Source organism: Homo sapiens, chromosome 15 (assembly GCF_000001405.40).
Source record: "Homo sapiens chromosome 15, GRCh38.p14 Primary Assembly".
NCBI lineage: Eukaryota > Metazoa > Chordata > Mammalia > Primates > Hominidae > Homo > Homo sapiens.
In genome coordinates, this window is record NC_000015.10 from 32,950,272 (window position 1) to 32,973,506 (window position 23,235).

The 23,235-nt window shown below is 40.1% G+C and overlaps 1 protein-coding gene and 1 non-coding gene across 17 annotated transcripts in view; one reads left to right on the forward strand and one right to left on the reverse strand.

Moving 5' to 3' along the window:
- The window catches only part of FMN1 (formin 1), a 429,171-nt gene that overhangs the window by 184,728 nt on the left and 221,208 nt on the right, over nt 1-23,235 (reverse strand). For all 16 annotated transcript variants that reach the window (XM_011521509.4, NM_001277313.2, XM_011521504.4 and 13 more), the window contains 2 exons: nt 18,443-19,206; nt 13,836-13,986 (listed from right to left, as the gene is read on the reverse strand). In XM_011521509.4, the coding sequence (XP_011519811.1) occupies nt 13,836-13,986; nt 18,443-19,206 (915 nt within the window). The remainder of the gene's footprint in view (nt 1-13,835; nt 13,987-18,442; nt 19,207-23,235) is intronic.
- Nucleotides 20,456-20,520, forward strand: LOC124900367 (small nucleolar RNA SNORD77). The gene has a single exon (XR_007064818.1). It is a non-coding gene; the product is annotated as a small nucleolar RNA SNORD77 (small nucleolar RNA).

A 23,235-nucleotide genomic window follows, 5' to 3' on the forward strand; every position in this document is an offset into this window, starting at 1 on the left:
ATGTGGCAATTCCTCAAAGACCTACAGACAGAACTGCCATTAGACCCAGCAATCCTGTTACTGGGTATACACCCAAAGGAGTATAAGTCATTCTGTTATAAAGACATATGCACATGTATGTTCATTAAAACACCATTCACAATAGCAAAGACATGGAATCAACCTATAGATGCCCATCAATGACAGACTGGATTTTAAAAAATGTGGTACATATACACTATGGAATACCATGCAGCCATAAAATAAAATGAGATCATGACTTTGCAGGCACATGGATGGAGCTGGGGGCCATACTCCTTAGTAAACTAACATAGGAACAGAAAACCACATACTACATTTTTTCACTTGTAAGTGGGAGTTAAATGATGAGAACACATGGACACACAGAGGAGAGCAACATACACTGGGGCCTATTAGAAGGTGGAGGGTGGGAGGAGGTTGAGTATCAGGAAAAATAACCAATGGGTACTAGGCTTAATACCTGGGTGACGAAATAATCTATGCAACAAACCCCCATGACACAACTTTATCTATGTAAAAACCTGCACGTGTACCCCTGGACTTAAAAGTTTAAAAAATGTAGTTTTCAATACTGTTAGTTATCTTTTTGTTATTGACACGATTCCTAACTTAATTTCATTTTGATCAGCAGATGTGATCTGTATGAAAAATTCCTTGAAATTTTATTGAGATTTGGAGAACTTTTGCTTTTTTTTTTAAAGTCTTAATATTGCTTGACTTTTTAAATTCTATTCATGCATTATGTTGATAAAATTTAATCAAGTACTGTATGAAAGTTAATGCAGTCTATTTGTTAATAAAGAAACCAACCTAAAATAACTTCATATTTTAAGAGCCTCACATTACCAAAATCGGTCATTCTACATATGTTTATTTATTTATAGACTATCATGCTCTCCAAAGATTTAAAAAGGTGATATTATGTTACCTGCCAATAGCTGGCATTCTTAAAATTGTATCACAAACACAGGTTACCATGAAAGCAAAATACAAATAGAACTAGAAAATGGAGATACATTTTAAACTTTTCCTTGCATTGGGTGGTTTTTTCTTGGTACACACTGAAGGAATTCATCTCTGAGAATCTGGCTAAAATTCATTTGCTTTAACTGCATAGCTGCGCCCCAGTGGGACACACACACACACACACACACACACACACACATCCACGCACACACAAATAGGGGAAATGGATTGTAACTAGCAGCCCCTGGGGTCCAGGAACCATAAGTGAATGAGAGATGAGGCTTCTGGTTAAAATTCAACCTCTTGCTTTCCTTTGGGATGACACTGGAGGATGTTTCATTATTCTTATTCCCAGTTCTCATGGTGGCAATGATGGTGGTAATAGCATAGTGAAAGCACCATTGATGTGCCAAGCCCCAGGCCAAACATTTCACATACTACATTTTAATTTTCACAACCACCTTTGAAGCAGACATTAATATTACTCTTTCTTTACAGATGAGAAAACTGTACGAAGGGGCCTTAGAAAGATGAAGGGACTTGCCCCATGAATGATGACTCAGCCAGGCCTGTGGGGTTCAAGAAGCCCCTGCTGCCCTACCACACTACCACCTTCCATACTTAGTCTAGTGGTGACTCTCACCACACTGGGCATGCTAGAGAAGGCAGCTGGTCAGAAACTGGAGCTCAGCCCTCTGCTACAGCCTTGTCACTGGCTTCCTATGGCTCTGAGGCAAACGCCCAGATCTCAGCTTGATCTTGAATTCATAGGTATGAACTCTCTGTGCAGGTCTGTGAGTTCTACCTCCTTTTCCATGCACCTTCAGCCTCAGAGGCTCATCCTTTCCTGCAGTGGCAACTGAATGGCTGGGTTTTATAGGGCTAAGTTTTTCAGATACCTCCACACCCCAAGAGTATATGTATATACAACAAAAACATCATCATGGCCAAGCCTCTCCAATGTCTTACTAAAGCATTCTAAACAAAGTATGCTTTAGGCGTTTTACTGCTACATTCTGAATCACATTCTTCTCCAAGCAACCATCTCAACGTCTCATTTTTTCCATTAGTAAGATGATTATATACAGAGTGATCTATTTATAATGAGCCCCAGCTCAAGCAGTATAGCTTTCAGTTGGCCTCATTTTATATAAATCTTTCTTTGTTAATTAATGTGTCTTATCCCAGTGTTGCAAGGAACATTTATGTTCCCGAATTGGACAGGAAGGAAGCAAACCACACCCAAGGTGAAGGCTCCAAAATCTTTAGAGTCAATATGAATGTAATAACCGTTTGAAAACAAAGTTTAAAGCTGGGTTTTGTGCATATTTTAAACTAAGGAAGTTGTACAACAGAGTCCACAAGAGAGTAAAAAGTGATGTGATAATTAGGCGGCCATGAATTAACCCCCTGGTACTTGCAGCTCTGTACTATTTTTAAAGACCTCCTTCTCACCTCCTAAGATATTTTGGACATGCAAAATGCCTAATGCGACTAATAAGGCACCTAGCATGAAAGTTAATTAATGAAAATGAAAACACGAAAACTCAGGTTATTTAGTAATAAGGGCCTGGAGCCAGATCCCAATTAAACTACTCTTGTGGCGAAGGGAGGGATCAAAATGCCCAATAGGTTCCATCTGGCTGCTTCTGTGGGTCAACGTAGAGTCTCACGTCCGTGTCAAATTAGCTTTTCCACCCTCTTCTTTCCCTTGCAGTGAGAAGCTAAAGGCAGTCCTCCCCACACTGTACTGGGGAACTCCCAGGCTCTCCCACTCACATGTAAGGGGCTTGGCGGCTAAGAAATCCAGCTGGAAGCGAGCGAGCATGATTTGATTCACCCGCTCTTCAGAGTCCAATCCCTTTTGTCATTCACTCCACTGGAGGGGCCCCCTAAACCTCCAATCCCGTTTGTACCCCACCTAGGAGATCTGATAATGGTCCTGGCAGAGCTGTGGCTTTTCGTAACTTCTGGCAGGGGCCTCGCTGACCCATAACATGACGACACACATGATTTCTTCTCATACTGTCTTTGTAAATTGACCATGGCTAACCTTGCTGCCCTAATCAGATCAATCAGAATAACATTTTTTTAGCTGCTGCACACAGGAAGCCTCCTGGGCTGAGGCATAACTCAGAGTCAGGCTGGGATACAGAAGGCAGATTTTTGAATTTCCAATGGTCTCAGGTTTCCTTTGCTTTTATCACAGTTGGTGAGCTTTGTAAGGTCCGTGTTTACAGCCATGCAAATTAGCCTCAGCTGGAGGGAAATCAGGTCAGGTCTAAATGAAATGAAGCTCTGGGTCAAAAGTATTTTATCAAAAATTGGAAGTGTGGCCATAGCACTGGGGTCCAGCCAGACTATCCTAGGAAGTAAGTGGACAGTTTTGTCTGGTGTAACCTGAGCTCCAGGCCTCTCGACCGTGGAAACTCTGCTAGGAGACGGAGGAAAAAATGGTGGAGGGCCACCCCAGCACAACGGGGGCTGGCCAGTTCCACCACTGGCTGCTGCCGCCAAATGCATTTCTGTTATGTAAGGACAACTGCAAAGAGAGAATACTGTATACCGGAAGGTGGGAACATTGTGGTTTGAGTCTGGTTTGCAGTATATCCCATGCCGCTCATTGACTAGGTAAAAATCTAAATTCACTGTTTCAATCTTACACACACTCAGTTTAAAAATGTATGTGGGAACGTATCCACATTCAGCTAAGTTCTGAGATTTTGCATCTGGAAAGCATATTTGCAAATTTTCACTCCAGATGCCATGTTAGGTATAGAAGTTAAGGTCAGAGGGGTTACATGACTGGACATACAACAACTACAACAACTAATAGTTACCTTCAAGACGAGATCTCTGGCTGCTAATTTCCACTGCAGTTTTCTCTATCATATTTCCAGTACTTCAATACCCCCACTACATAAAAAACTTGGTTTGTTTAAAAATAACTCTCCAATATATATACCTTACATTTGGGGGATTATTAAAATCAGAACAATTATTTCCTGAACCCCCATGTACCTATGGCTCATACAATATGCTACTGATGGTTTGAGACAGCTCTATCCATCTGATTAGGCCTGGATCTGAGCGCTAAGATATTGCTCAATGTGTAATACCCTCATCTATCTGCCTTCTAAAAATAAAATGAAAGTTGGCAGATCTTGAGTGTCTTCATCTGCAAAGAAGTCATGACCAGATCCTTGGAATTCATATAATTAAAGTTTATCTTTTGACAGATGAGAAACCTGAGATCGGAGAATTTAAAGGACTTGTTCGGGATTCGATATTTGGTTAGGGTCAGAGTCAGAATTAGAAATTATGTTTACTGACACCAAAGCTGGGCACTTTTTTCACTATACAATGACCAAAAAATAAAATTCAGTCTTGGCCAAGTGAATTTAAAGTCAGAACTTGCAGTTAAATGCAGACGAATGCCCATTTATCAAGTAATTAACAACACAAGGCTGGGCACGGAGGCTCACGCCTGTAATCCCAGCACTTTGGGAGGTCAAGGTGGGCGGATCACTTGAGGTCAGTAGTTGGAGACTAGCCTGGCCAACATGGTGAAACCCCATCTCTACTAAAAATACAAAAATTAGCCAGGCATGGTAGGTGTGCCTGTAGTCCCAGCTACTCTGGAGGCTGAGGCATGAGAATTGCTTGATGAACCTGAGAGGTGGAGGTTGCAGTGACTAGGCAACAGAGTGAGACTTTTTGTCTCAAAACAAACAAAAAAATAAGCTGTGGGGTTGTTGCTGGAAACATTCCTTTGCTCTTTAGAACTATGTGGTACTACGCAAGTTGCCCAACCCCTCTAAACTCCAGTTTTCTCATGTATAAAACAGGAACAATAATAGGAACCGTCTCACTGGGTTTTTGATCAAATTAGTTAATATATGACAGGCACTTAACCAAAATTCCTCATTTAGCAGTGGCACTACTAGTGATATCTTTATTTTTTAATCTCCACTTGAATGACATCAAATAAATCCAAGGTCATTGAGACTTCTCTGTTCATATTAAGCATGTGCCTGTGAGGGCATGTGCAGGGGCTGTTCTGACTATCACATACATGGGAGATGTGTGTATTTTGCAAAGCACTTACAAGTTCACCTTCAAAAGCATCCATGTGACCTGGACTTGCAACCGAAGTATACATATATGATCTTTCCCTATTCTTGTTACATCTTCACATACTTCTAGCTTGGAACTGAAGGCCAGAGGACTCACTATCACCATCAAGGTCCCAAGCACAGGCGCTCAGCCTCATCCTGTTGTCTAGCTCCAACCCCGTAACAGAATCTCAGAAAATGGCCTGGATTGAGGATAAATGAATGAGATTTGGGAAAATATAGGCGAGACTTCAAAACTTCCCTCAACGAGAAGATAAATATTTTTTAAAGCATAAATATTTAGAATGGTTCTCTCATAGCATATCCTGTACTTTTTTGTGTTTTCCAAACAGATAACCCCAAATCTATATTCAAATAAACTTTTGCTTTTCACTCTCTTCCGATATGGAAGATTTTAAAGATGTGTGTGCGTGTGCGTGTGTGTGTGTGTGTGCGTGCGCGCACGTGTCTGTGTGTGTGGTGAGAAAGGAATTCCAGAATCAGTCCCAAAGACGCTAACTCTAATATTCCATATATTTTTATACTGCAATCATTCATTCTAAGCACTGGAACCATGGCTACTAATGATTTTTTTTCTGCTAATACCTTCAAGTCTTTCTAATATGCAATTGACTCCCAATACTCTGTGTGGGTAATTTGCTGTGAAATTTGGCCTCATGGTCCACAATAGAGATATGAGAAGACTAAAGAGAGAGCTGGGGGCAGTTACTCTCTTCCAGGTTCCTGTTCTGGGGGTTCTAGGATCCATGCAACTTTTATCTTTGTATCTCAGCATTCTAAGGTGCCCTCTTGTGGTGTGGGGTAGGAAAAGAGCATCCTAAATGCAGCTGGCTGGAGACACAAATCCAGATCAAGTTACTGTTGAACAGCCAACAAGAGAAACATGGTTGAACTCCAAGAATAATACTCAGATGCAGCATTCTGAAAGAATCATTGATATTCATATTTGACAAGTCCTAACCACTCTTTTTTTTTTTTAAAAAAATAAGCAAATAAAATAAACGTACAACTTCTGGGGCTGTCTCATTTCCAAATAAAATTTACAAGGTGGAATTTTTGTAAACTGGTGCCTGTCATGGAGCTCCTGTTTCCTTTCAGTAAATGCGGCCAGTCAGGAGTCCTTAAACTGAAGAACAGGAAAGCCCTGATCATTCCAGATATCACTCAAGAAATCGGGACAGAGCGCTAGTTTAGGCCCCCAGGTCATATATTAGTACAATCAACACATGGGCAAGTTATTTCACTCACTTCTATAGATGATAATCCCTAACCCCATTGCTCAGTTGTCAACACGTGAAAAACGTAAAGGGGTAGACAAACCTATCACCACCCTCATATAAAAAAACTAACGCACATTCCTTACACCGAGGGAGCCCAGAGAAATTATCTTTGTACACCAAAGCTGAAATAATATAAACTTGGAAAGCAATAGGTTATGAAAACCCTATAAATTTATGTTCAGGCTTCCAAACAATGTTCTTCTTCCACCCTTCTCCCCTCCCCAATAAACTGAGACATAAAGTCTGGGATTTGAGAATTACAGCTATGATCCTTGCCAAAGTGACCAAATTACAATCAATGCTGAAGGCTTTTGGCACCACAAAATTTCAACAGACTAGTATCTGCTGAACCATCACAACCCCCTTCCCCCAAAGTGTTTGGGGAATAGCCATTATCTCATTAATTCTTAAGAAATATCTATTAAAAAGACAGAGACAGAGAGGGAGACGGGGAGAGAGGAATCCTTTTACATATCTTACAGAAGAGGAAACAAACAGAGATGATTTATAATTTAGTCAGATCATGGCATCTCAAAAAAGGAGGAATATTGGCAGATCATGCTGATTTTCAGAATGTCGTTGGGCAAGTTTAAAACACAATTGGAAAGTTTATCAGAGCAGTTCTTTTTTTTTTTTTTTTTTTTTTTTTTTACAGGAACCAGGAGAAAGAATCACAGACAATGAAGGTGGATTTCTGGCTCCTTGTCAAGGTGCTGACCTACCTTGCTCAGGAACAAATGTCACTTAGAGACAGTGTAAATATGACATATTGACAGGGGAAACTCTTTATCTTTCAGTGAAAAGAGACTATACAAACACGATATGTACTACTAGATGTCCGAATGTATCACTAACGGAAGTTGTGGGATACTTCCATGAATATCAACAAACAAGAATAATCTAGAGATTCCCATTTGCAAATAGTTTTAGGAATTGACACATTAATGCTTTAAGACCTTAAAAACCTTGGGAATCAAAGATGTTTAAGAATTTCTTTCCAAAGCTTTCACATTAGTTCATAAACTAAGAGATTAATGCAAAGAATACTTAACGTACTCTTATAATTTCATATTATACTTATAATAACCATATTAAGGGGGTGTTATTCCCAATTTCGTAGAGAAGAAATCAGTGTGAGAAGGTTAAATGACTTTTTCTGAATGTTACGAAAGAAAAAAATAAGAGATAGTAGCAAGTGGTGGTGGTTCCATTGACAGCTGGTATCTTGAGCTCTGGTTCTTAATTTGGTTACTGCCATGTTTGTCGTGGCAGAGTGGTCTAGTATCACAAATGAGAATGGCACCTATCTAAGTATGCAATATAAATTTGTAATAATTAGTAATAAATTTATTTTATTATAGCTAATATTTTAAATGGAATTGATAAGGTCAAAGAAAAACACCAGCTCCAAATCTATATATGCCTTTTGCTGGAGTTACATAGAAAGCACATCTTTTTACTCAAAGATTTGGCTTCCTATTGGAAGACTCTGAAGAAAACCATGGATAATTACACAATGTAGGAAATACTTTGGATATGCAGAAGTGTGGCTATATTTTGTTGATGTTTTTAATAATGGCTACTCTCATTCATAAACTTCAAATAAATCACCCGAATAAAAGTTGATACTATCACCAAGGTGGCAAGTTACCATTTAAATAAAGGGGAAATGCAGACACATGCTGATGAACAAGTGTTCATCATCATCAATGTCTTCCCAGTTAAAAGTGTACAAACCCCTACAAGTCACTTTATCTTTCTCGGTCTTAGTTTCTTATGTGCCATATGAGAGAAATAAGATGATGGGTAAGATTTCTTCTAATTCCTAGACTACATGATATTACAGAACAGGATCCCTGCCTAGTTTGAGAAGATATACATACATACATACATACATACATACATACATACATACATGCTTAAACAAGTGCCAGTGATATGAAATTTAAATACTATTTTAGTAGTTGAAGCTAGAAATTAGTATCTGAGTTCCACAGACTCTTGATCATTCTGTCCATTACTTCTGAAATACAAACGTGAAATGTGCTGAGGGATGAAGACCAGCTCTATTTAAGGGATATTCATGGCTGGGTGCAGTGGCTCACGCCTGTAATCCCAGCACTTTGGGAGGCCAAGGCAGGTGGATCACCTGAGGTCAGGAGTTTGAGACTGGCCTGGACAATGTGGTGAAAGCCCGTCTCTACTAAAAATATAAAAATTAGCTGGGCGTGATGGTGGGTGCCTGTAATCGTAGCTACTTGGGAGGCTGAGGCAGGACAATCGGCTTGAACCTGGGTGGTGGGGGTTGCAGTGAGCCGAGATCACACCATTGCACTCCAGCCTGGGCGACAACAGTGAAACACTGTCTCAAAAAAAAAAAAAAAAAAAAGACATTCATATTCACGTTTCAATGCTGGCTGAAGCCCTATAGCCAAGATTCAGAATTCTGGATTTTGAAATCCAGTAATGTACCCAGCACTTTCTCTTGTTCAGTCATTATAAAAAGACCTATCTGGCAAGTATCCTCCTGGTCTTCTCATATGGGAACCATTCCATGATCCAGCTGAAGGAGTTGGCCTTCAATGCTGAAACTCCTCAGCTGCTCACCACCTCTAAAACCACTTTCATTTTCAAGAGGAAAGAAAACAAACATCTGACTCTCAGAAGAGACCAAGGGATCCATCTTGATGTTGGAAATCTGGCCACAGGCATGGAGCAAAGATTATAGGAGGCAGGTTTGGAGTTTTCTGGCATCAATTCAGCTTGCTATTTTCTTTAAAACTTAAAACCTCAGCTCTAAGGTAGGACACAAAGCTCACTGAAAACTCTAAGCTGCATATTACCACAAAGCTCAGTAGACCCAATTTTTTGCCTCCACTTACAGAGAAAAGCAAGCACTACACAAGTGCACGGATTCCATGGGGCAATGGCAACCACCCTGTTCAGAAAACTTAAAGAGTTTAAATGAAGTGTTATTTTCCCCCTCAGACAGAGAAACAAAATAAATGTTATCAAGTACTAACTGCCTTAAACTCCTTTGTTGAACAGGCAAACTATTATAAGAAAAGAAATAATAAATGACCAAATGCTTTGATGTTTAAAAACAAATATTCATTCACCAAAACAGAAGTGAATAGTTCTATGAGTAAACAACATGTTTTCAAGCATCTGGAGAGAAACAAAAAGAGTAATAGCAATCTAAGAAGCAATAAAGAACAAAAGTAAATTTAATACGATCCTGCATAAGAAAGCATTCAGAGGAGATTCTGGTGAGTTCAGGCAAGCCTTCCTGAAAGAGGCAAACTGAAGTTGGCTTTGGAATATACAGATTTTCCTTTTGCCATTCAGGTAGAAACAAGTCTTCTGCTTCTATAGATGGCATTTAAAAAGCCAGCCTGGCTACAAAGCAGGCTTACCTCCATCTCATATGAATCTAATTGCATGGGAATACATTCTATGTAAATCAGCTGACCTTTTTTTGCCCGGATTTGTCTGGAACTTACTATTTGTATTAATCCATTTTCGCACTGCTATAAAGATACTACCAACATGGCAGCAGGAGAGAGAGGGTGGGGTGAGAGCGGCACCAGAAACTTATGGAACAACCAAATCTCGTGAGAACTCACTCACTATCAGGAGAACAGAAAGGGAAATCCACCCCCATGATTTAATCGCCTCCCACCAGGTCCCTCCTAGACACGTGGGTACAATTTGACATGATATTTGGGTGGGGTCACAGAGCCAATTTATTAGAAAAATTCAAATTGTTCCATGCAATATAGCCTTTTAAAATTTTCCTTTAATACTTCTTTGGATATTTTTCTCAAGACAACACAATTACAGTGACCTTGAGAAACATTTTGATCATGATTTTTATCCGTAATTGAAGTCAGTGGGAAAATCTGATTTGATTAACAGAAAACTGAATTCAGACATTTTCCTTTTTTCCCCTGTAATTTGCAGCTAATTTCATAATCATTACATTACTTGAGAAATGAACTGATGATGAACCCCATGATGTAATTTAACAAGGAAACGTAGCCTGGCACGGTGGCTCACGCCTGTAATCCCAGCATTTTGGGAGGGTGAGGTGGGCAGATCACCTGAGGTCAGAAGTTCGAGACCAACCTGGCCAACTTGGTGAAAACCTGTCTCTACTAAAAATACAAAATTAGCCGGGCATGGTGGTGCATGCCTGTAATCCTAGCTACTCGGGAGGCTGAAGCAGGAGAATTGCTTGAACCCCAGAGGCAGAGGTTGCAGTGAGCCGAGATCACACCATTGCACTCCCACCTAGATGACAAGAGTGAGACTCCGTCTCAAAAAAAAAAAAAAAAAAAAAAAAGGCAGGGTTGATGGTATCATTCAATATTACATACTTTTCAAAACACTGCCTCAAACCTGCTTAGATGTGAATTTCACAACATACTGGTGGGTCAGGTAGATTCAGATATTGTTCATCTTTTTTTTTTTTTTTAGACGGAGTTTTGCTCTTGTTGCCCAGGCTGGGGTGCAATGCGGCAATCTCAGCTCACTGCAACCTCTGCCTCCTGGGTTAAAGCGATTCTCCTGCCTCAGCCTCCCGAGTAGCTGAGATTACAGGCGCCCGCCACCACACCTGGCTAATATTTGTGTTTTTAGTAGAGACGGGGTTTCCCGAAATTGGCCAGGCTGGTGTCGAACTCCTGACCTCAGCTGATTCACCCACCTCAGCCTCCCAAAGTGCTAGGATTATAGGCATGAGCCACCGTACCCGGCCTGTAATCCTTTTTTATAGAGAAGGGAAAATACGACAAGGAAGACAACCAGCCCAAGCTCACATAGCAAGTCAATAGCAACACAGAGTACTATACTTTTTCCTCAACACCATTTCTGCTACTATTAAAAATAAGAAAAACTAACCAACCAAACAAAAACCCACTAAAACAGGGAAATGGTAGCCGTAGTAGTAACAGTAGCAAAAACAAGAGCAGCTGTCATATGTTGAGCACTGACAGTGAGCCAGGCACTATGCTGAGCCTGATACATGGATTACCCCATTGAATAATTACTTAGAGAACATTATGAGCAGATATCATCTCAGGCTATGGTGCAGGGACCCAGACACAGAGAGTGAAAGGACCTAGTACCGTTGCCTCAGATCTCACAGTCAATGTGTGGCAGAGGTGTGATTCGTCCTCATGGTTGTCTCTGACTGCCTGACAGTCCTAAACTCATTCTCTTACAGAAAGCTGGTGCCTCTCAAGTTTTTGAGTCCTTGAGTCACTACTCAGAAGCCACCGTCATAATGAGGTCTACCCTGAACACCCCATTTAAAATTGCAGACCTCACCCCCACCCTACTAAAGTCGACCCTCCTTCCCCTGCACTACTATGTGATTGACAGGGTTTATGTTTAGTGTTTGTTAATATAAGCTCCACAGGGCAAGGATTTATTATTATTATTATTATTATTATTTTACTTTTATTTTTTGCCCTCAACACATACCAATGCTTAAGACAGTGCTGTCCAACAGAGCTTTTTATACAATGGAAATGTTTTACATCTATGCTATCCAATACAGCAGCCACTAGGCATAAGAACAAAATTGGAAAGTCGAAAACTGGCTAGCCATATGTAGAAAGCTGAAACTGGATCCCTTCCTTACACTTTATACAAAGATCAATTCAAGATGGATTAAAGACTTAAACGTTAGACCTAAAACCATAAAAACCCTAGAAGAAAACCTAGGCATTACCATTCAGGACATAGGCATGGGCAACGACTTCATGTCTAAAACACCAAAAGCAATGGCAACAAAAGACAAAATTGACAAATGGGATCTAATTAAACTAAAGAGCTTCTGCACAGCAAAACAAACTACCATTAGAGTGAACAGGCAACCTACAAAATGGGAGAAAATTTTTGCAACCTACTCATCTGACAAAGGGCTAATATCCAGAATCTACAATAAACTCAAACAAATTTACAAGAAAAAAACAAACAACCCCATCAAAAAGTGGGCGAAGGACATGAACAGACACTTCTCAAAAGAAGACATTTATGCAGCCAAAAAACACATGAAAAAATGCTCACCATCACTGGCCATCAGAGAAATGCAAATCAAAACCACAATGAGATACCATCTCAAACCAGTTAGAATGGCAATCATTAAAAAGTCAGGAAACAACAGGTGCTGGAGAGCATGTGGAGAAATAGGAACACTTTTACACTGTTGGTGGGACTGTAAACTAGTTCAACCATTGTGGAAGTCAGTGTGGCGATTCCTCAGGGATCTAGAACTAGAAATACCATTTGACCCAGCCATCCCATTACTGGGTATATACCCAAAGGACTATAAATCATGCTGCTATAAAGACACATGCACACGTATGTTTATTGTGGCATTATTCACAATAGCAAAGACTTGGAACCAACCCAAATGCCCAACAATGATAGACTGGATTAAGAAAATGTGGCACATATACACCATGGAATACTATGCAGCCATAAAAAATGATGAGTTCACGTCCTTTGTAGGGACATGGATGAAATTGGAAATCATCATTCTCAGTAAACTATCACAAGAACAAAAAACCAAACACCGCATATTCTCACTCATAGGTGGATACTGAACAATGAGAACACGTGGACACAGGAAGGGGAACATCACACTCTGGGGACTGTTGTGGGGTCGGGGGGGTGGGGGGAGGGAAAGCACTGGGAGATATACCTAATGCTAGATGACGCGTTAGTGGGTGCAGCGCACCAGCATGGCACATGTATACATATGTAACTAACCTGCACATTGTGCACATGTACCCTAAAACTTAAAGTATAATAAATAAATAAGAAGAAGAAAAAAAAAAGAAGGTGGTTAGTCCAATTAAAGAACTAAATTATTTTATTTAATTTCATTATTTAATAGCCACGTTACCATACTGGATACTGCAGGCCTGGAACAAATGCCTAGCATGGTAAACCCCTAGGAAATACTTGTTAAATGAATGAATTTATAAATAAAACCTATTTTCCATATAACCTGTAGACTACTTTCACTAACTACAAATTAAATTTTATTTTTATTTCAACAGAATTAATGGCTGAAAAAGTCCAGATTAAATTTTGAAAATTCAGAAGATATGGCCAAAATAGCAGGCACAGATTTCATGAACTATTGGCTCCCTTTGCCATCTGCCACTCAAAACCTTCTGAAACATTTCATGAAACCAGGGAAAGCACCAACAGCATGTAATGAATTCCTATGAATCACACACACACACACACACACACAGAATATGTAATAAATTCCTATGATACACACACATATATGTATAGGTATGTGTGTGTGTGTATATACGATACACACACACACACACACACACACACACACACATATATACCATTTCCCTGTATAATATATAATTACAGCTTTGCCATAATCACTCAGTACCTTTTTGACCTTGTTTTTCTTCTCATAAGTCTCTGACAGAGGTTTTTTCTTCTGTTGAGTTGTGTCTTTGGAGAATAAATACTCAAATTCACTGGGGTCCCGAATGTCAGGTTCTTCTAAGGAGTCCCATAAGGTTGGTGTAGCATTTTGGCTTAAAAGAGAAAATGACAAGTTAACCATAAGAACCAAAACAGGAAGGAATGTAATACAATGAAATCTTTCTCTAATCCATTTTTTAATTTCATTTTTCTAAAAAAACACATAAAACTCTAATAATGCTTGGAGAAAAGCTTTTTATGTTACGCATTTGTTAAAGTCAAAATATACTATAGAACATTAAAACACACACAGACGTATTTCCAAAAAAGTAATTGTCATTAGCTACGATCAAAGATAGAGCTCTACAGAAACTCCTTAGGACTAGAAATCCTGGGATTCGGATTCCTGGGGGCACCCAAGCTGCTCCTCCCTCAGCCTGTGGCATTTCCATGATGTGTAAAAATGGGCATCATATAAAGGCTGAGAAGATAACCAATTTGAGACTGTGACAGGCTAATTCTGAAGGAGACTGAAAATGGAGTACCGAAGTAAAGACCTGCCTCCTCTTTGGACTTTTTCAACTACTTTTAAATACAGTTTTTAGGATTCATGCAGGTAAACTCAGTGCAGCGTCCTTAATATGTAAACAGGCTGTGCCTATTTTAAAATACATGATTCATAGTATCTCAGTCCCCTAAACAATACTAACAACAAAAACCAACCAAAAACCTCCTCCATTGCACCTCATGGGATATCATCTAAAGTAGCCATAGGGAAACTGGGCTGTTTCATCTTCCAGAAACAGGGGCACCCTAGTTTTGAAGGGAAGAAAAGCTCTTGAGAATCAGGCGTAACAGAACAGCCTCCGTGAGCTGACTCCAGTGGTCACTCCTCAGGGTTCCCTCAGTCAGAACACATCTCCCAAATGTTTACTTTCTTATCTTAATTTCAAACACTATTAATGTTTACTGGTCAGGCATGGTAGCTCACACCTGTAATCCAAGCACTTTGGGAGGCTGAGGTGGGCAGATCACTTGGGGTCAGGAGTTCAAGACCAGCCTGGCCAACATGGTGAAACCCCATCTCTACTAAAAAATACAAAAAATTAGCTGGGCGTGGTGGTGGGTGCCTGTAATCCTAGCTACTTGGGAGGCTGAGGCAGGAGAATTGCTTGAACCCGGGAGGCAGAGGTTGCGATGAACTGAGATTGTGCCACTGCACTCCAGCCTGGGTAACAGAACAAGAGTCCATCTCAAAAATAATAATAATAATAAATACTATCAATGCCCACAAATTTCATCTATATACTTATTGTTTATCAAACATAGGTATATGTTACAATCCATAACATCTAAAAGTATATAGCTTTATTTCCATACCTATTTTCTCAATGAAAACTAAAAAGATAACTATTATTACATGGAATGGTCCACAGAATTTTGTAATACTACAGGTGATTTTGGTATTTAAAACAGTTGGCAGCCCTGGCTCCTCAGGTCTGCGTGTTCACACTTTGCAATAGATCTGCCTTTCCCATGATATATGACATTTTGGTTTTGGCCACATTCACCTCTTCTCTCCTCTACTTTTTATTTTTTAAATTATGATTTCGCCAATAGTTGAACCATGTAATAGTATGACATATGGAAGTTATAAAGTATAACAATAGAATGAACACCTGGGAAACCATTACCCAACCCAAGGGCTAGAACATTTCCAGTGAAGTACATCCATGTATGTGTTCCTCTCTCAGCCATACCCCTCTGCTACTCACTTAACTTCAACTTGAAGCATAAGCACCACGGATGTTAAGTGCTTATCTCTGTGGTGCTGGGGGAGACGGGGGAGAAGTAGGATCTTGAAGAAGGAAGTCAGCTGGGAATTCTGGAGTGAGCATGCGGCATGTTAAGGGCCACTGGTCTGGGCCTTGGGAAGGTTCTGGGCAGCTAAGGGGTGACGTCTAGAGTGAAGTGATGCAGAGTGTCAGGCCAACTGCTCAGCCCCATCCCCACTTCCTGCACCTGCTTGGCTCTAGCCCCACGGACTCTGAGGTCAGGCCAGTGTAACTAGTATTATAATTCACTTATATTCTGGAGTAAATTGGCTTTGGGAGTCAACCGTGATCAGTTTAAGCACCTGATCACCATTTACAACACTATTTCTATGGGAAAGGTATTTCCAATACTGAATGAAAGAATTTTGGAACACTGCCTCTCAGTGATTTTGGGACAGCCAGCATTTGGTAGGGCAATAATAAGGACGTGCTTCCCAACGAATGACCTGCCATGGTGGTCAACTGACCACTGAACATACAATTCTAGCTCAAAAGGAAGGCAGGGGGAGAGAGAGAGAAAGAGGAGGAGGAAAATGAGAAACTTACTAAGAAGCTGAAAAGGTAGTTAGATGAGGATTTATTTTTCCTTAAGTGTCTCTTGCTTATTCTAGAAATCACGAAAGAGACACCCAAGAAGGCAAAACGTCAAAAGAAAAAAAATCAGTTCATACCAGGAGTCAAAAGCAATTTAGGTAGATGAGAGGCAGTGTACACATAATGCTGAAAATTCACATTTTGTTTCTGGCTTCCCAGAAGAGCAAGACCAACATTTATGATGCAATCATTATATAAACTACTTAATCCTCTAGTTGCACAAAATATTAAAATATGATTTTGCCTCCTTTATGAGAAGGTATCCCAAATAATTGCACTTTTGCTCCTAAGCAAATACTCCACAGGCTCTTTGAGTCATTTTCATTTAAAAGCAGTAGTGCTAATAGGTACAAAAAGTTGGAGGGACCCATAATAAAAGAACTTGAATATGTGGTACCACCAGGAAGTGCCCGTGTTGCAGTCTTAACACATCATAGAGGGGCAGCCCCCCGTGTTATGTTTCAGGTTCAAATGCGCACCAAGCAGGGCTCTCTTGATGTCCTATTCATCTACTTTTCATTTTGCTCAAAAGTAAAGCCCTAGATTTATGATGAAACCAGTGAGACCTTCAGTATTCAATTGCTTTTCTTCTCAAAACGGCCAACTAAATGAGGAGGAAACAATGTAGACAATGATTGTCTCCAGCTTTCCCGTGGTCGTGGGTGAAGGGCCCACATCTCCCAGTGGGACTCTTTGATGGCTGCTGTGGTCCACAGTTACCTGTTGCTCATGAAGTCTCTCAGGGAAGGAAGTGAAGGCAGGCTAGTGGGACACAGGTGTGGAACAGCTCCCCGTGCTGTCGGACACACTCGTCCAGGGCTTACAGGTGGGAGCTATTGCCCTGGAATGGCTGTGCACTAATTTGAGAACACTAATACGGAAACATGACTCAAAATAAATATTCTGGGAAATGATTTTTTAGGAAATGTCTGAGTCTTTATTGGGAAAAAGGGAATACTAGTACTTTAGTTAATGGCAGAAGCTATTACAGGATCATCTCACTTTTTTATGAACCATTCATTTGGGAAATTACAAAGTATAATTGAATTTTGTAAAAAAGAAGTATCAGGATGTTCCAAAAACAAACTCTTGGCCCTTATTTTTTGGTGAGAGGAAAGGGGAAAATATGAAGCACATATGCTTAGTTTTAGGGTATTCCCCACTCCTCCACAGGGATTTCTGGTTGTTTTATCATTGTGAGTTGTGTGTTATTTTGTTTCATATCCTGCCTTGCCTAAGCAAAGTGTTATATAAATTGAAGAATGCATTACCACATGACTTGGGAAAAGCTGTAAAATGTGTCCTATATTTGCTGTCCTTTACAAACAAACTTTAAAGGAGAAAGTGGTCAAGAGACAACTTAAGATCTCTTTCACTGTCCTCCTTCCAGGCTCAGAAATAAGGCAGAACAAATCACACTCAAATCTGTTTGAATGGATGTTTCCAAGCAACTATATCTTGCTGCTTTACAAACCCAGCTTAACAATCTATACAAATGGAAGATGCTTTCAGCTATCCACATACTGACACTTTCTCTGAAGGGCATCAAGACATAAAGGAAGATGTGAGAGTACTTAGCAGTTAAAAGAAACAGAGTTCAAGCAGAGAGAGTTTGTATTTTAAGACTCTCCTCTGATCTAAAGAACTAATAACTTAGCCATGTCTCATTCTTTTAATAAAAACTGAAGAACACCCATTTCTGTTAAATATCTAGATTATAGGGTTGATTATAGTATTTAAAAACAAGACAGTAAAAAGAATTCTAAAAATCCTCAGTGAACCTACAGTATGGAAATCAGGTTCAATTCTTTATGATTACTAATCAATTGTAGTGATGTTGGGGAAAGCTTTGGCTTAGATCCGGACTCTTGTCTAGTCTGTAAAATGGAACATTTGCCTTGGAAAAAAATCTGACACTGAAACACATGGTTTCTCCCAGCATCTTCAGAGAATACAGAGAGGCCCTGATGGAGACAGACAATCTCCCCAAACATCCCAACATTGTTTATCCAAGCATTCACTGTATCACACTTGATAATGGGTGCTACACTATGGAGATATTGACCCGGTAAGAATAAAATATCACTTGGGCCAAATCCTAGGAATTCACATGCTGAGAATGGGATAGGGGAGAACTTACCTCCTATCACTTATTTGTATCCTAGTCCAATATAAAGGCTTCATGGGACAACTGGGCTCGATGGCTGGTTTTCGAGGACATTGACTGGAAGAAGAGCCAAGTCCAAAGAAGAGTCCAGGGGGAGGTGGGGGTGCAAGTCCTGGGGGTGGTGGAGCAGGAGGAGGCCCTCCAGGGTTGGGTGGGGCAGGGGAGTTAGGAAGTGGGGGTGGGGGTGGGGGTGGTGGAGGTCCAGCACTTGAAGGTGGAGGTAGAGGTGGCGGTGGAGGAGGCGGAGGTGGTAGCGGTGGCCCAGCACTCACAGGTGGCATTGGAGGTGCGGGAGACAAAGATCCAAGTCCTGAGGGGAGGGGCGGAGGGGGAGGGATGGATGCGGGAGGCGGAGGCAATGCCTTCTGCTGATTTGATGCCATGCCCTCCATTGGCTGGAGTGCTGCATGGATGTCTTTGTGGTCATTTGGGGGTGAGAGCTGGCTTAAAGAGGAGATATTCAGCTTTTTGGGTACTAATTGATTACTTCTGGTTGTCTTGCTTTCACTTTCACAGGGCTTGAGGAAGGTCTCTCTGTCTGTCTGGACGCACACATTTCTGAAGGTCTTTGGAGGGCAGTCATCATCGGTGGAAATGCACACATCTTTCCTCTCTTCACAACCCCCTCGCCATCTGTGTTCTAGCTCGTGTTTCAGATTTTCAATGGTTTCTTCTAGTCTCGCTGTTATCATTGCATGCTCGCCCCGGATATGAAATGCCCGAAGTTCAAACTGTGCCTATAGGAAAATTCAGAGGGAAAGAAAGTAATGAGTTTATTAAGAACAAACTTAAGAATTTAGAAACTCAATAATACCATCATGGTGCCACTGTAGCATGGCCCACATAAATGCAGGGAAATACAGAGACATTCTTTTAAGAATCCATAAAGGTGTAAATTGCACTCTGAATTTTCCAGGGACCTAAACAGGCAGGAGTCAAAGCACAATTTCAACCAGCCTGAGCTCACGGGAGATAATTTTCATGGATTAAGGCTTAAAGTACATCTATTACTTAAGAACTCTTACCCAATTTGCATATCAAACACAAAACTTTTAATAAAGTTTTGGACATGCTTGAATATCTATCTGTTTTACAACTTTTCGGGTTGGTTTCAAAAAAGAAAACTATAAAGAAAAAAATAGGTTTAGAGCTCCTCTGGCTTAGAGCTGTTCTCCCAGTCTTCCAGAATGTCTCTTTCACTGAGTTTCCAGGACAATACAGCAGACACAGAAAGCAAGGGAAGAAGCCACGATAACTTACTTTTTTAAAGTTTCCTTATAAAAGCAGCCCAAGATCAGTATTTGTGTCTGTTTCATAATATAGCAATAAATAAGGAACAGAGAACATAAATAATGAAGATATTATAGTATGCCATTTTCTTCTATTTACACAGCACTTTAAAGTATATAAGACAGTAGTAGCCTTTTTAATGCTTATTGCCTCAGTTATTTTAATGCACTGAGTCTGTAATTGTACACTTATTAGCACAGAGCTAGTGTACTCGCAGTCATTAACCAGCCCGTTCCTCAGCATTCAAAGCTATTCATCCTATTACAGTTAATTGGAAAGCAAATTTAGAATTTTATTAGAGTTTTCAAAATCCAGTTTAACAGTAATTAAATATTTTTTGTCAATTTATTTAATTTCTGCCTCCCCCATGAGATTATAAACTCCACAAGATGAAACTGGTGACAGTATTGTCTTTCTATCTGTATCCCAGCAGGTAGCCCAGGAAGTACATACCTCAGCAGCAATGGATGGATAAAAATCACTGGGATAGTTATATTCACTGTCATTGTCACTGTCCCAAGAGCCTCCCTTATCAAGACTCTCTTCACTATAATTTCAGCACAAATATCTAGAACACCTAAAGCATGCACAAGTACAGCTCCCTTTTGCATTGAAAAAGTAAAGAAATATTTTAACAGCCTTGGAGGGAAAGGTATACACACAGGAAGCTCATCTACCTTCATTGAGATAACTTTTATACTATGATGTTTGCATAGTTCAGCAGATTGAATTATGAAGAGATCTACCATTTGTCTGGTGTTAAAAAAAAAAAAGATAACTTTTAACTATTTTTTACTAGGTTCAACTTTTCTCTAATATTCATTCTCAAGAGCAAACCCCTAAAGGGCTATAGTCAGGAGAACTGAAAGGCGAAGTTTTTCGAAGGCTCATCTTCTCATATGTGGACACGGTCTGAGCCAACTCTGAGGGAAGGGGCTAGCTCTGGACACCGTCTATTTCTCGTGCAGTGCAGAGCGCTGAGTGCCGAGTTTGGACTCACACCACCTGGTTCACGTCTTGGCTTAGGCACTTGCGAGTTCTATGACCTCAGACAGGGAACGCTGTGTCCCTAAGCCTGAGTATCTTCAAGTGTAAAGTATAAATAATAGCCATCTCTAGGACTTTTATAAAAGTAAAATGAGATACTTCATATAAAATAGTAGGCATTATGCCTGGAACACAGAAACGTTTGGATAAATCTTACTGTTAGTTTCTGTTGCTAATGCTAATGCTAATAGCAGAGCAAGAGACTAACAAATTCCTAATTATTTTTTAAAATTTTCAGACAATGCTACCTTTGTAGAGGGACAGGCATAAACCTAGGAAAAGCTCAAAATCAGGATAAGCAAAGTACTGCAAATACCAAAGTTTACCTAGCCTTTTGTGAGTTCTACTACCGATTACCTAAGTAATTTCGAGCTTCACTCAACTGTGAGATCGAGATAATCTTTGTTTCAACATCGTATCATTTCCATCTTCATTTCTCTCTCTCTTTCCTGTCCACTTCCACCCACATCTTAGCCCTGATTACCACCCTGAATTACCCACATTTTAATTTCATTCTAATGACTAGTTCGGTTCTGTCACAACAAACTAACTCTCAGCTGTTATTCTCAACTAAACCTTCTTTCAAGATTAAGAATCAAATATTCAAGAAGCAGTAATTTTACTCAATCCTCAACTTCTTAATGATATGAAAGAGTTTCAAAGACATACTGCATGGTGAAACTTTCCCTAATAAGGGAAATATTTTTGGTGAACTTATTGAGTTTCTGCCTCCCCTATCAGATTATAAACTCCCCAAGATGAAATCTTGTATCTAGAGCAAAAGCCCTGGCCCCACCTCCTCTTCTTTCTACCACTCTGTCAACGATCTTCTAAATCTGTTGAAGCTGACATGTAAAGCTATATATCATTTTAGCAGCTCTGAGGTAAGGCATTTGTTTAGTGTAGTGGGCAGAACACAAATCGGGCAGTTAAGTTCACCTCTCTGTACCTCAGTTTTTTTTGTAAGCTAAATGGGGATAATAAAATGTACCTGACAGAGCGGATATGCCAGGGAGGCAAATTAATATACGTAAAAGAAAATACAGAAGAGTGTTTGCAGCATAGTAAGTGCTATTTCAGTTTGCCGTCATTATTATTCTCTCTCTAATGCCTGGCAGATCAGAGCCCAGTGGCCCCATTAGCTTGCTCTTGGCTCTGGGTACGCTTCCCAGCCCCATGCCCTCTACTGTCTACATGCTCTATGCTTCTAAAGCAAAAATAGACATACCAAAATCCTTCTTAAATTCCTTTAGCTATGGCACTTTCCAACCCTACCTCTTTTCCTTCGCAGCAGAACTTTTTTGAAAAAAGCACTTGACCCATGCTTTATTTTTGTCATTCATTCACTTTCACCCAATTACTGGCTTTCATCTCCCCCATCCTATTGAAACTCCATGATTTGACTGTTGCATTCAATCAGCACTTTTCAGTGATTTTGACCTCTCTGCCACATTTGTTAAGAGTTGACTGTTGCACAAGCATTGAAATTCTGCTTCCCTGAACTCGATTCCACCTCTCTCCTTTTGTTCTCCTCCTACTTCTTTGCTGTCCCTAGTCAATCTGTAGACTCATTCATCCTTAAGTGTGGTTCTCTTGGCATCTTCCTTGCCATTTTTTTCCTTATCACACTATACAATCTTTCTAGATGATCTCATATACTCATATAAATGACACCAGGTGAGTACCTTCAAACTTGGTACCTTGAGATCATATTTCCAAGTATCCTCTGGATTAATCTACTTAAATATTTAACCAGCTGCCTCAGATCCAACAGGTTGGAAAGTGAACTCATTGTTGCCGAACCCCAATGTGTTCCTCCTCTGAAATTCCTCCTCACTATTAATGCCTCATCGCCTCCAGTCAGCACATCCAGAAACCTGATGTCATGCTGAATTTCTTGCTCTCTCTCATCCTCAACATGCTATTTGTCAAGTGTTATTGATTTCTCTTGTCACCCCCACCACCTCAATCTTTCACTGGACAAAGGCAATGAGCATTTTCTTGACTCAAATTCAACCACTTTGGTTCCAAGAAGATTTTGAAAAAATAAATAAATAAATGCAGATCCCTAGTCCTTAAAATCTCTTCAATAATTAGCTTTACTTGCAGACTAACATGAACTTTTTAGCACACACACATCAACAGCTCTTCTGATCTGTTTTCTGACCAACTTCTCCACTATTGGCTTTTGTCCCTTCCCCAGATATGCCCTGGATTCCAGTTTCCTAAACAGGTCCATGCTCTTTCATGCATCTGGGTCTTTGCAAATACTGTCCTCTTCCAATACCCTTCCTCTGTTGCAAACACTCAAGGTAGGGGGCAGATTACCAGGCACAGACTCCATGAATGGGTTCCTCACATACTGTATTCACTGATATGGAGAATGACCAAATAAGAAGGAAAACAATGAATTTCCATGTACCATACAC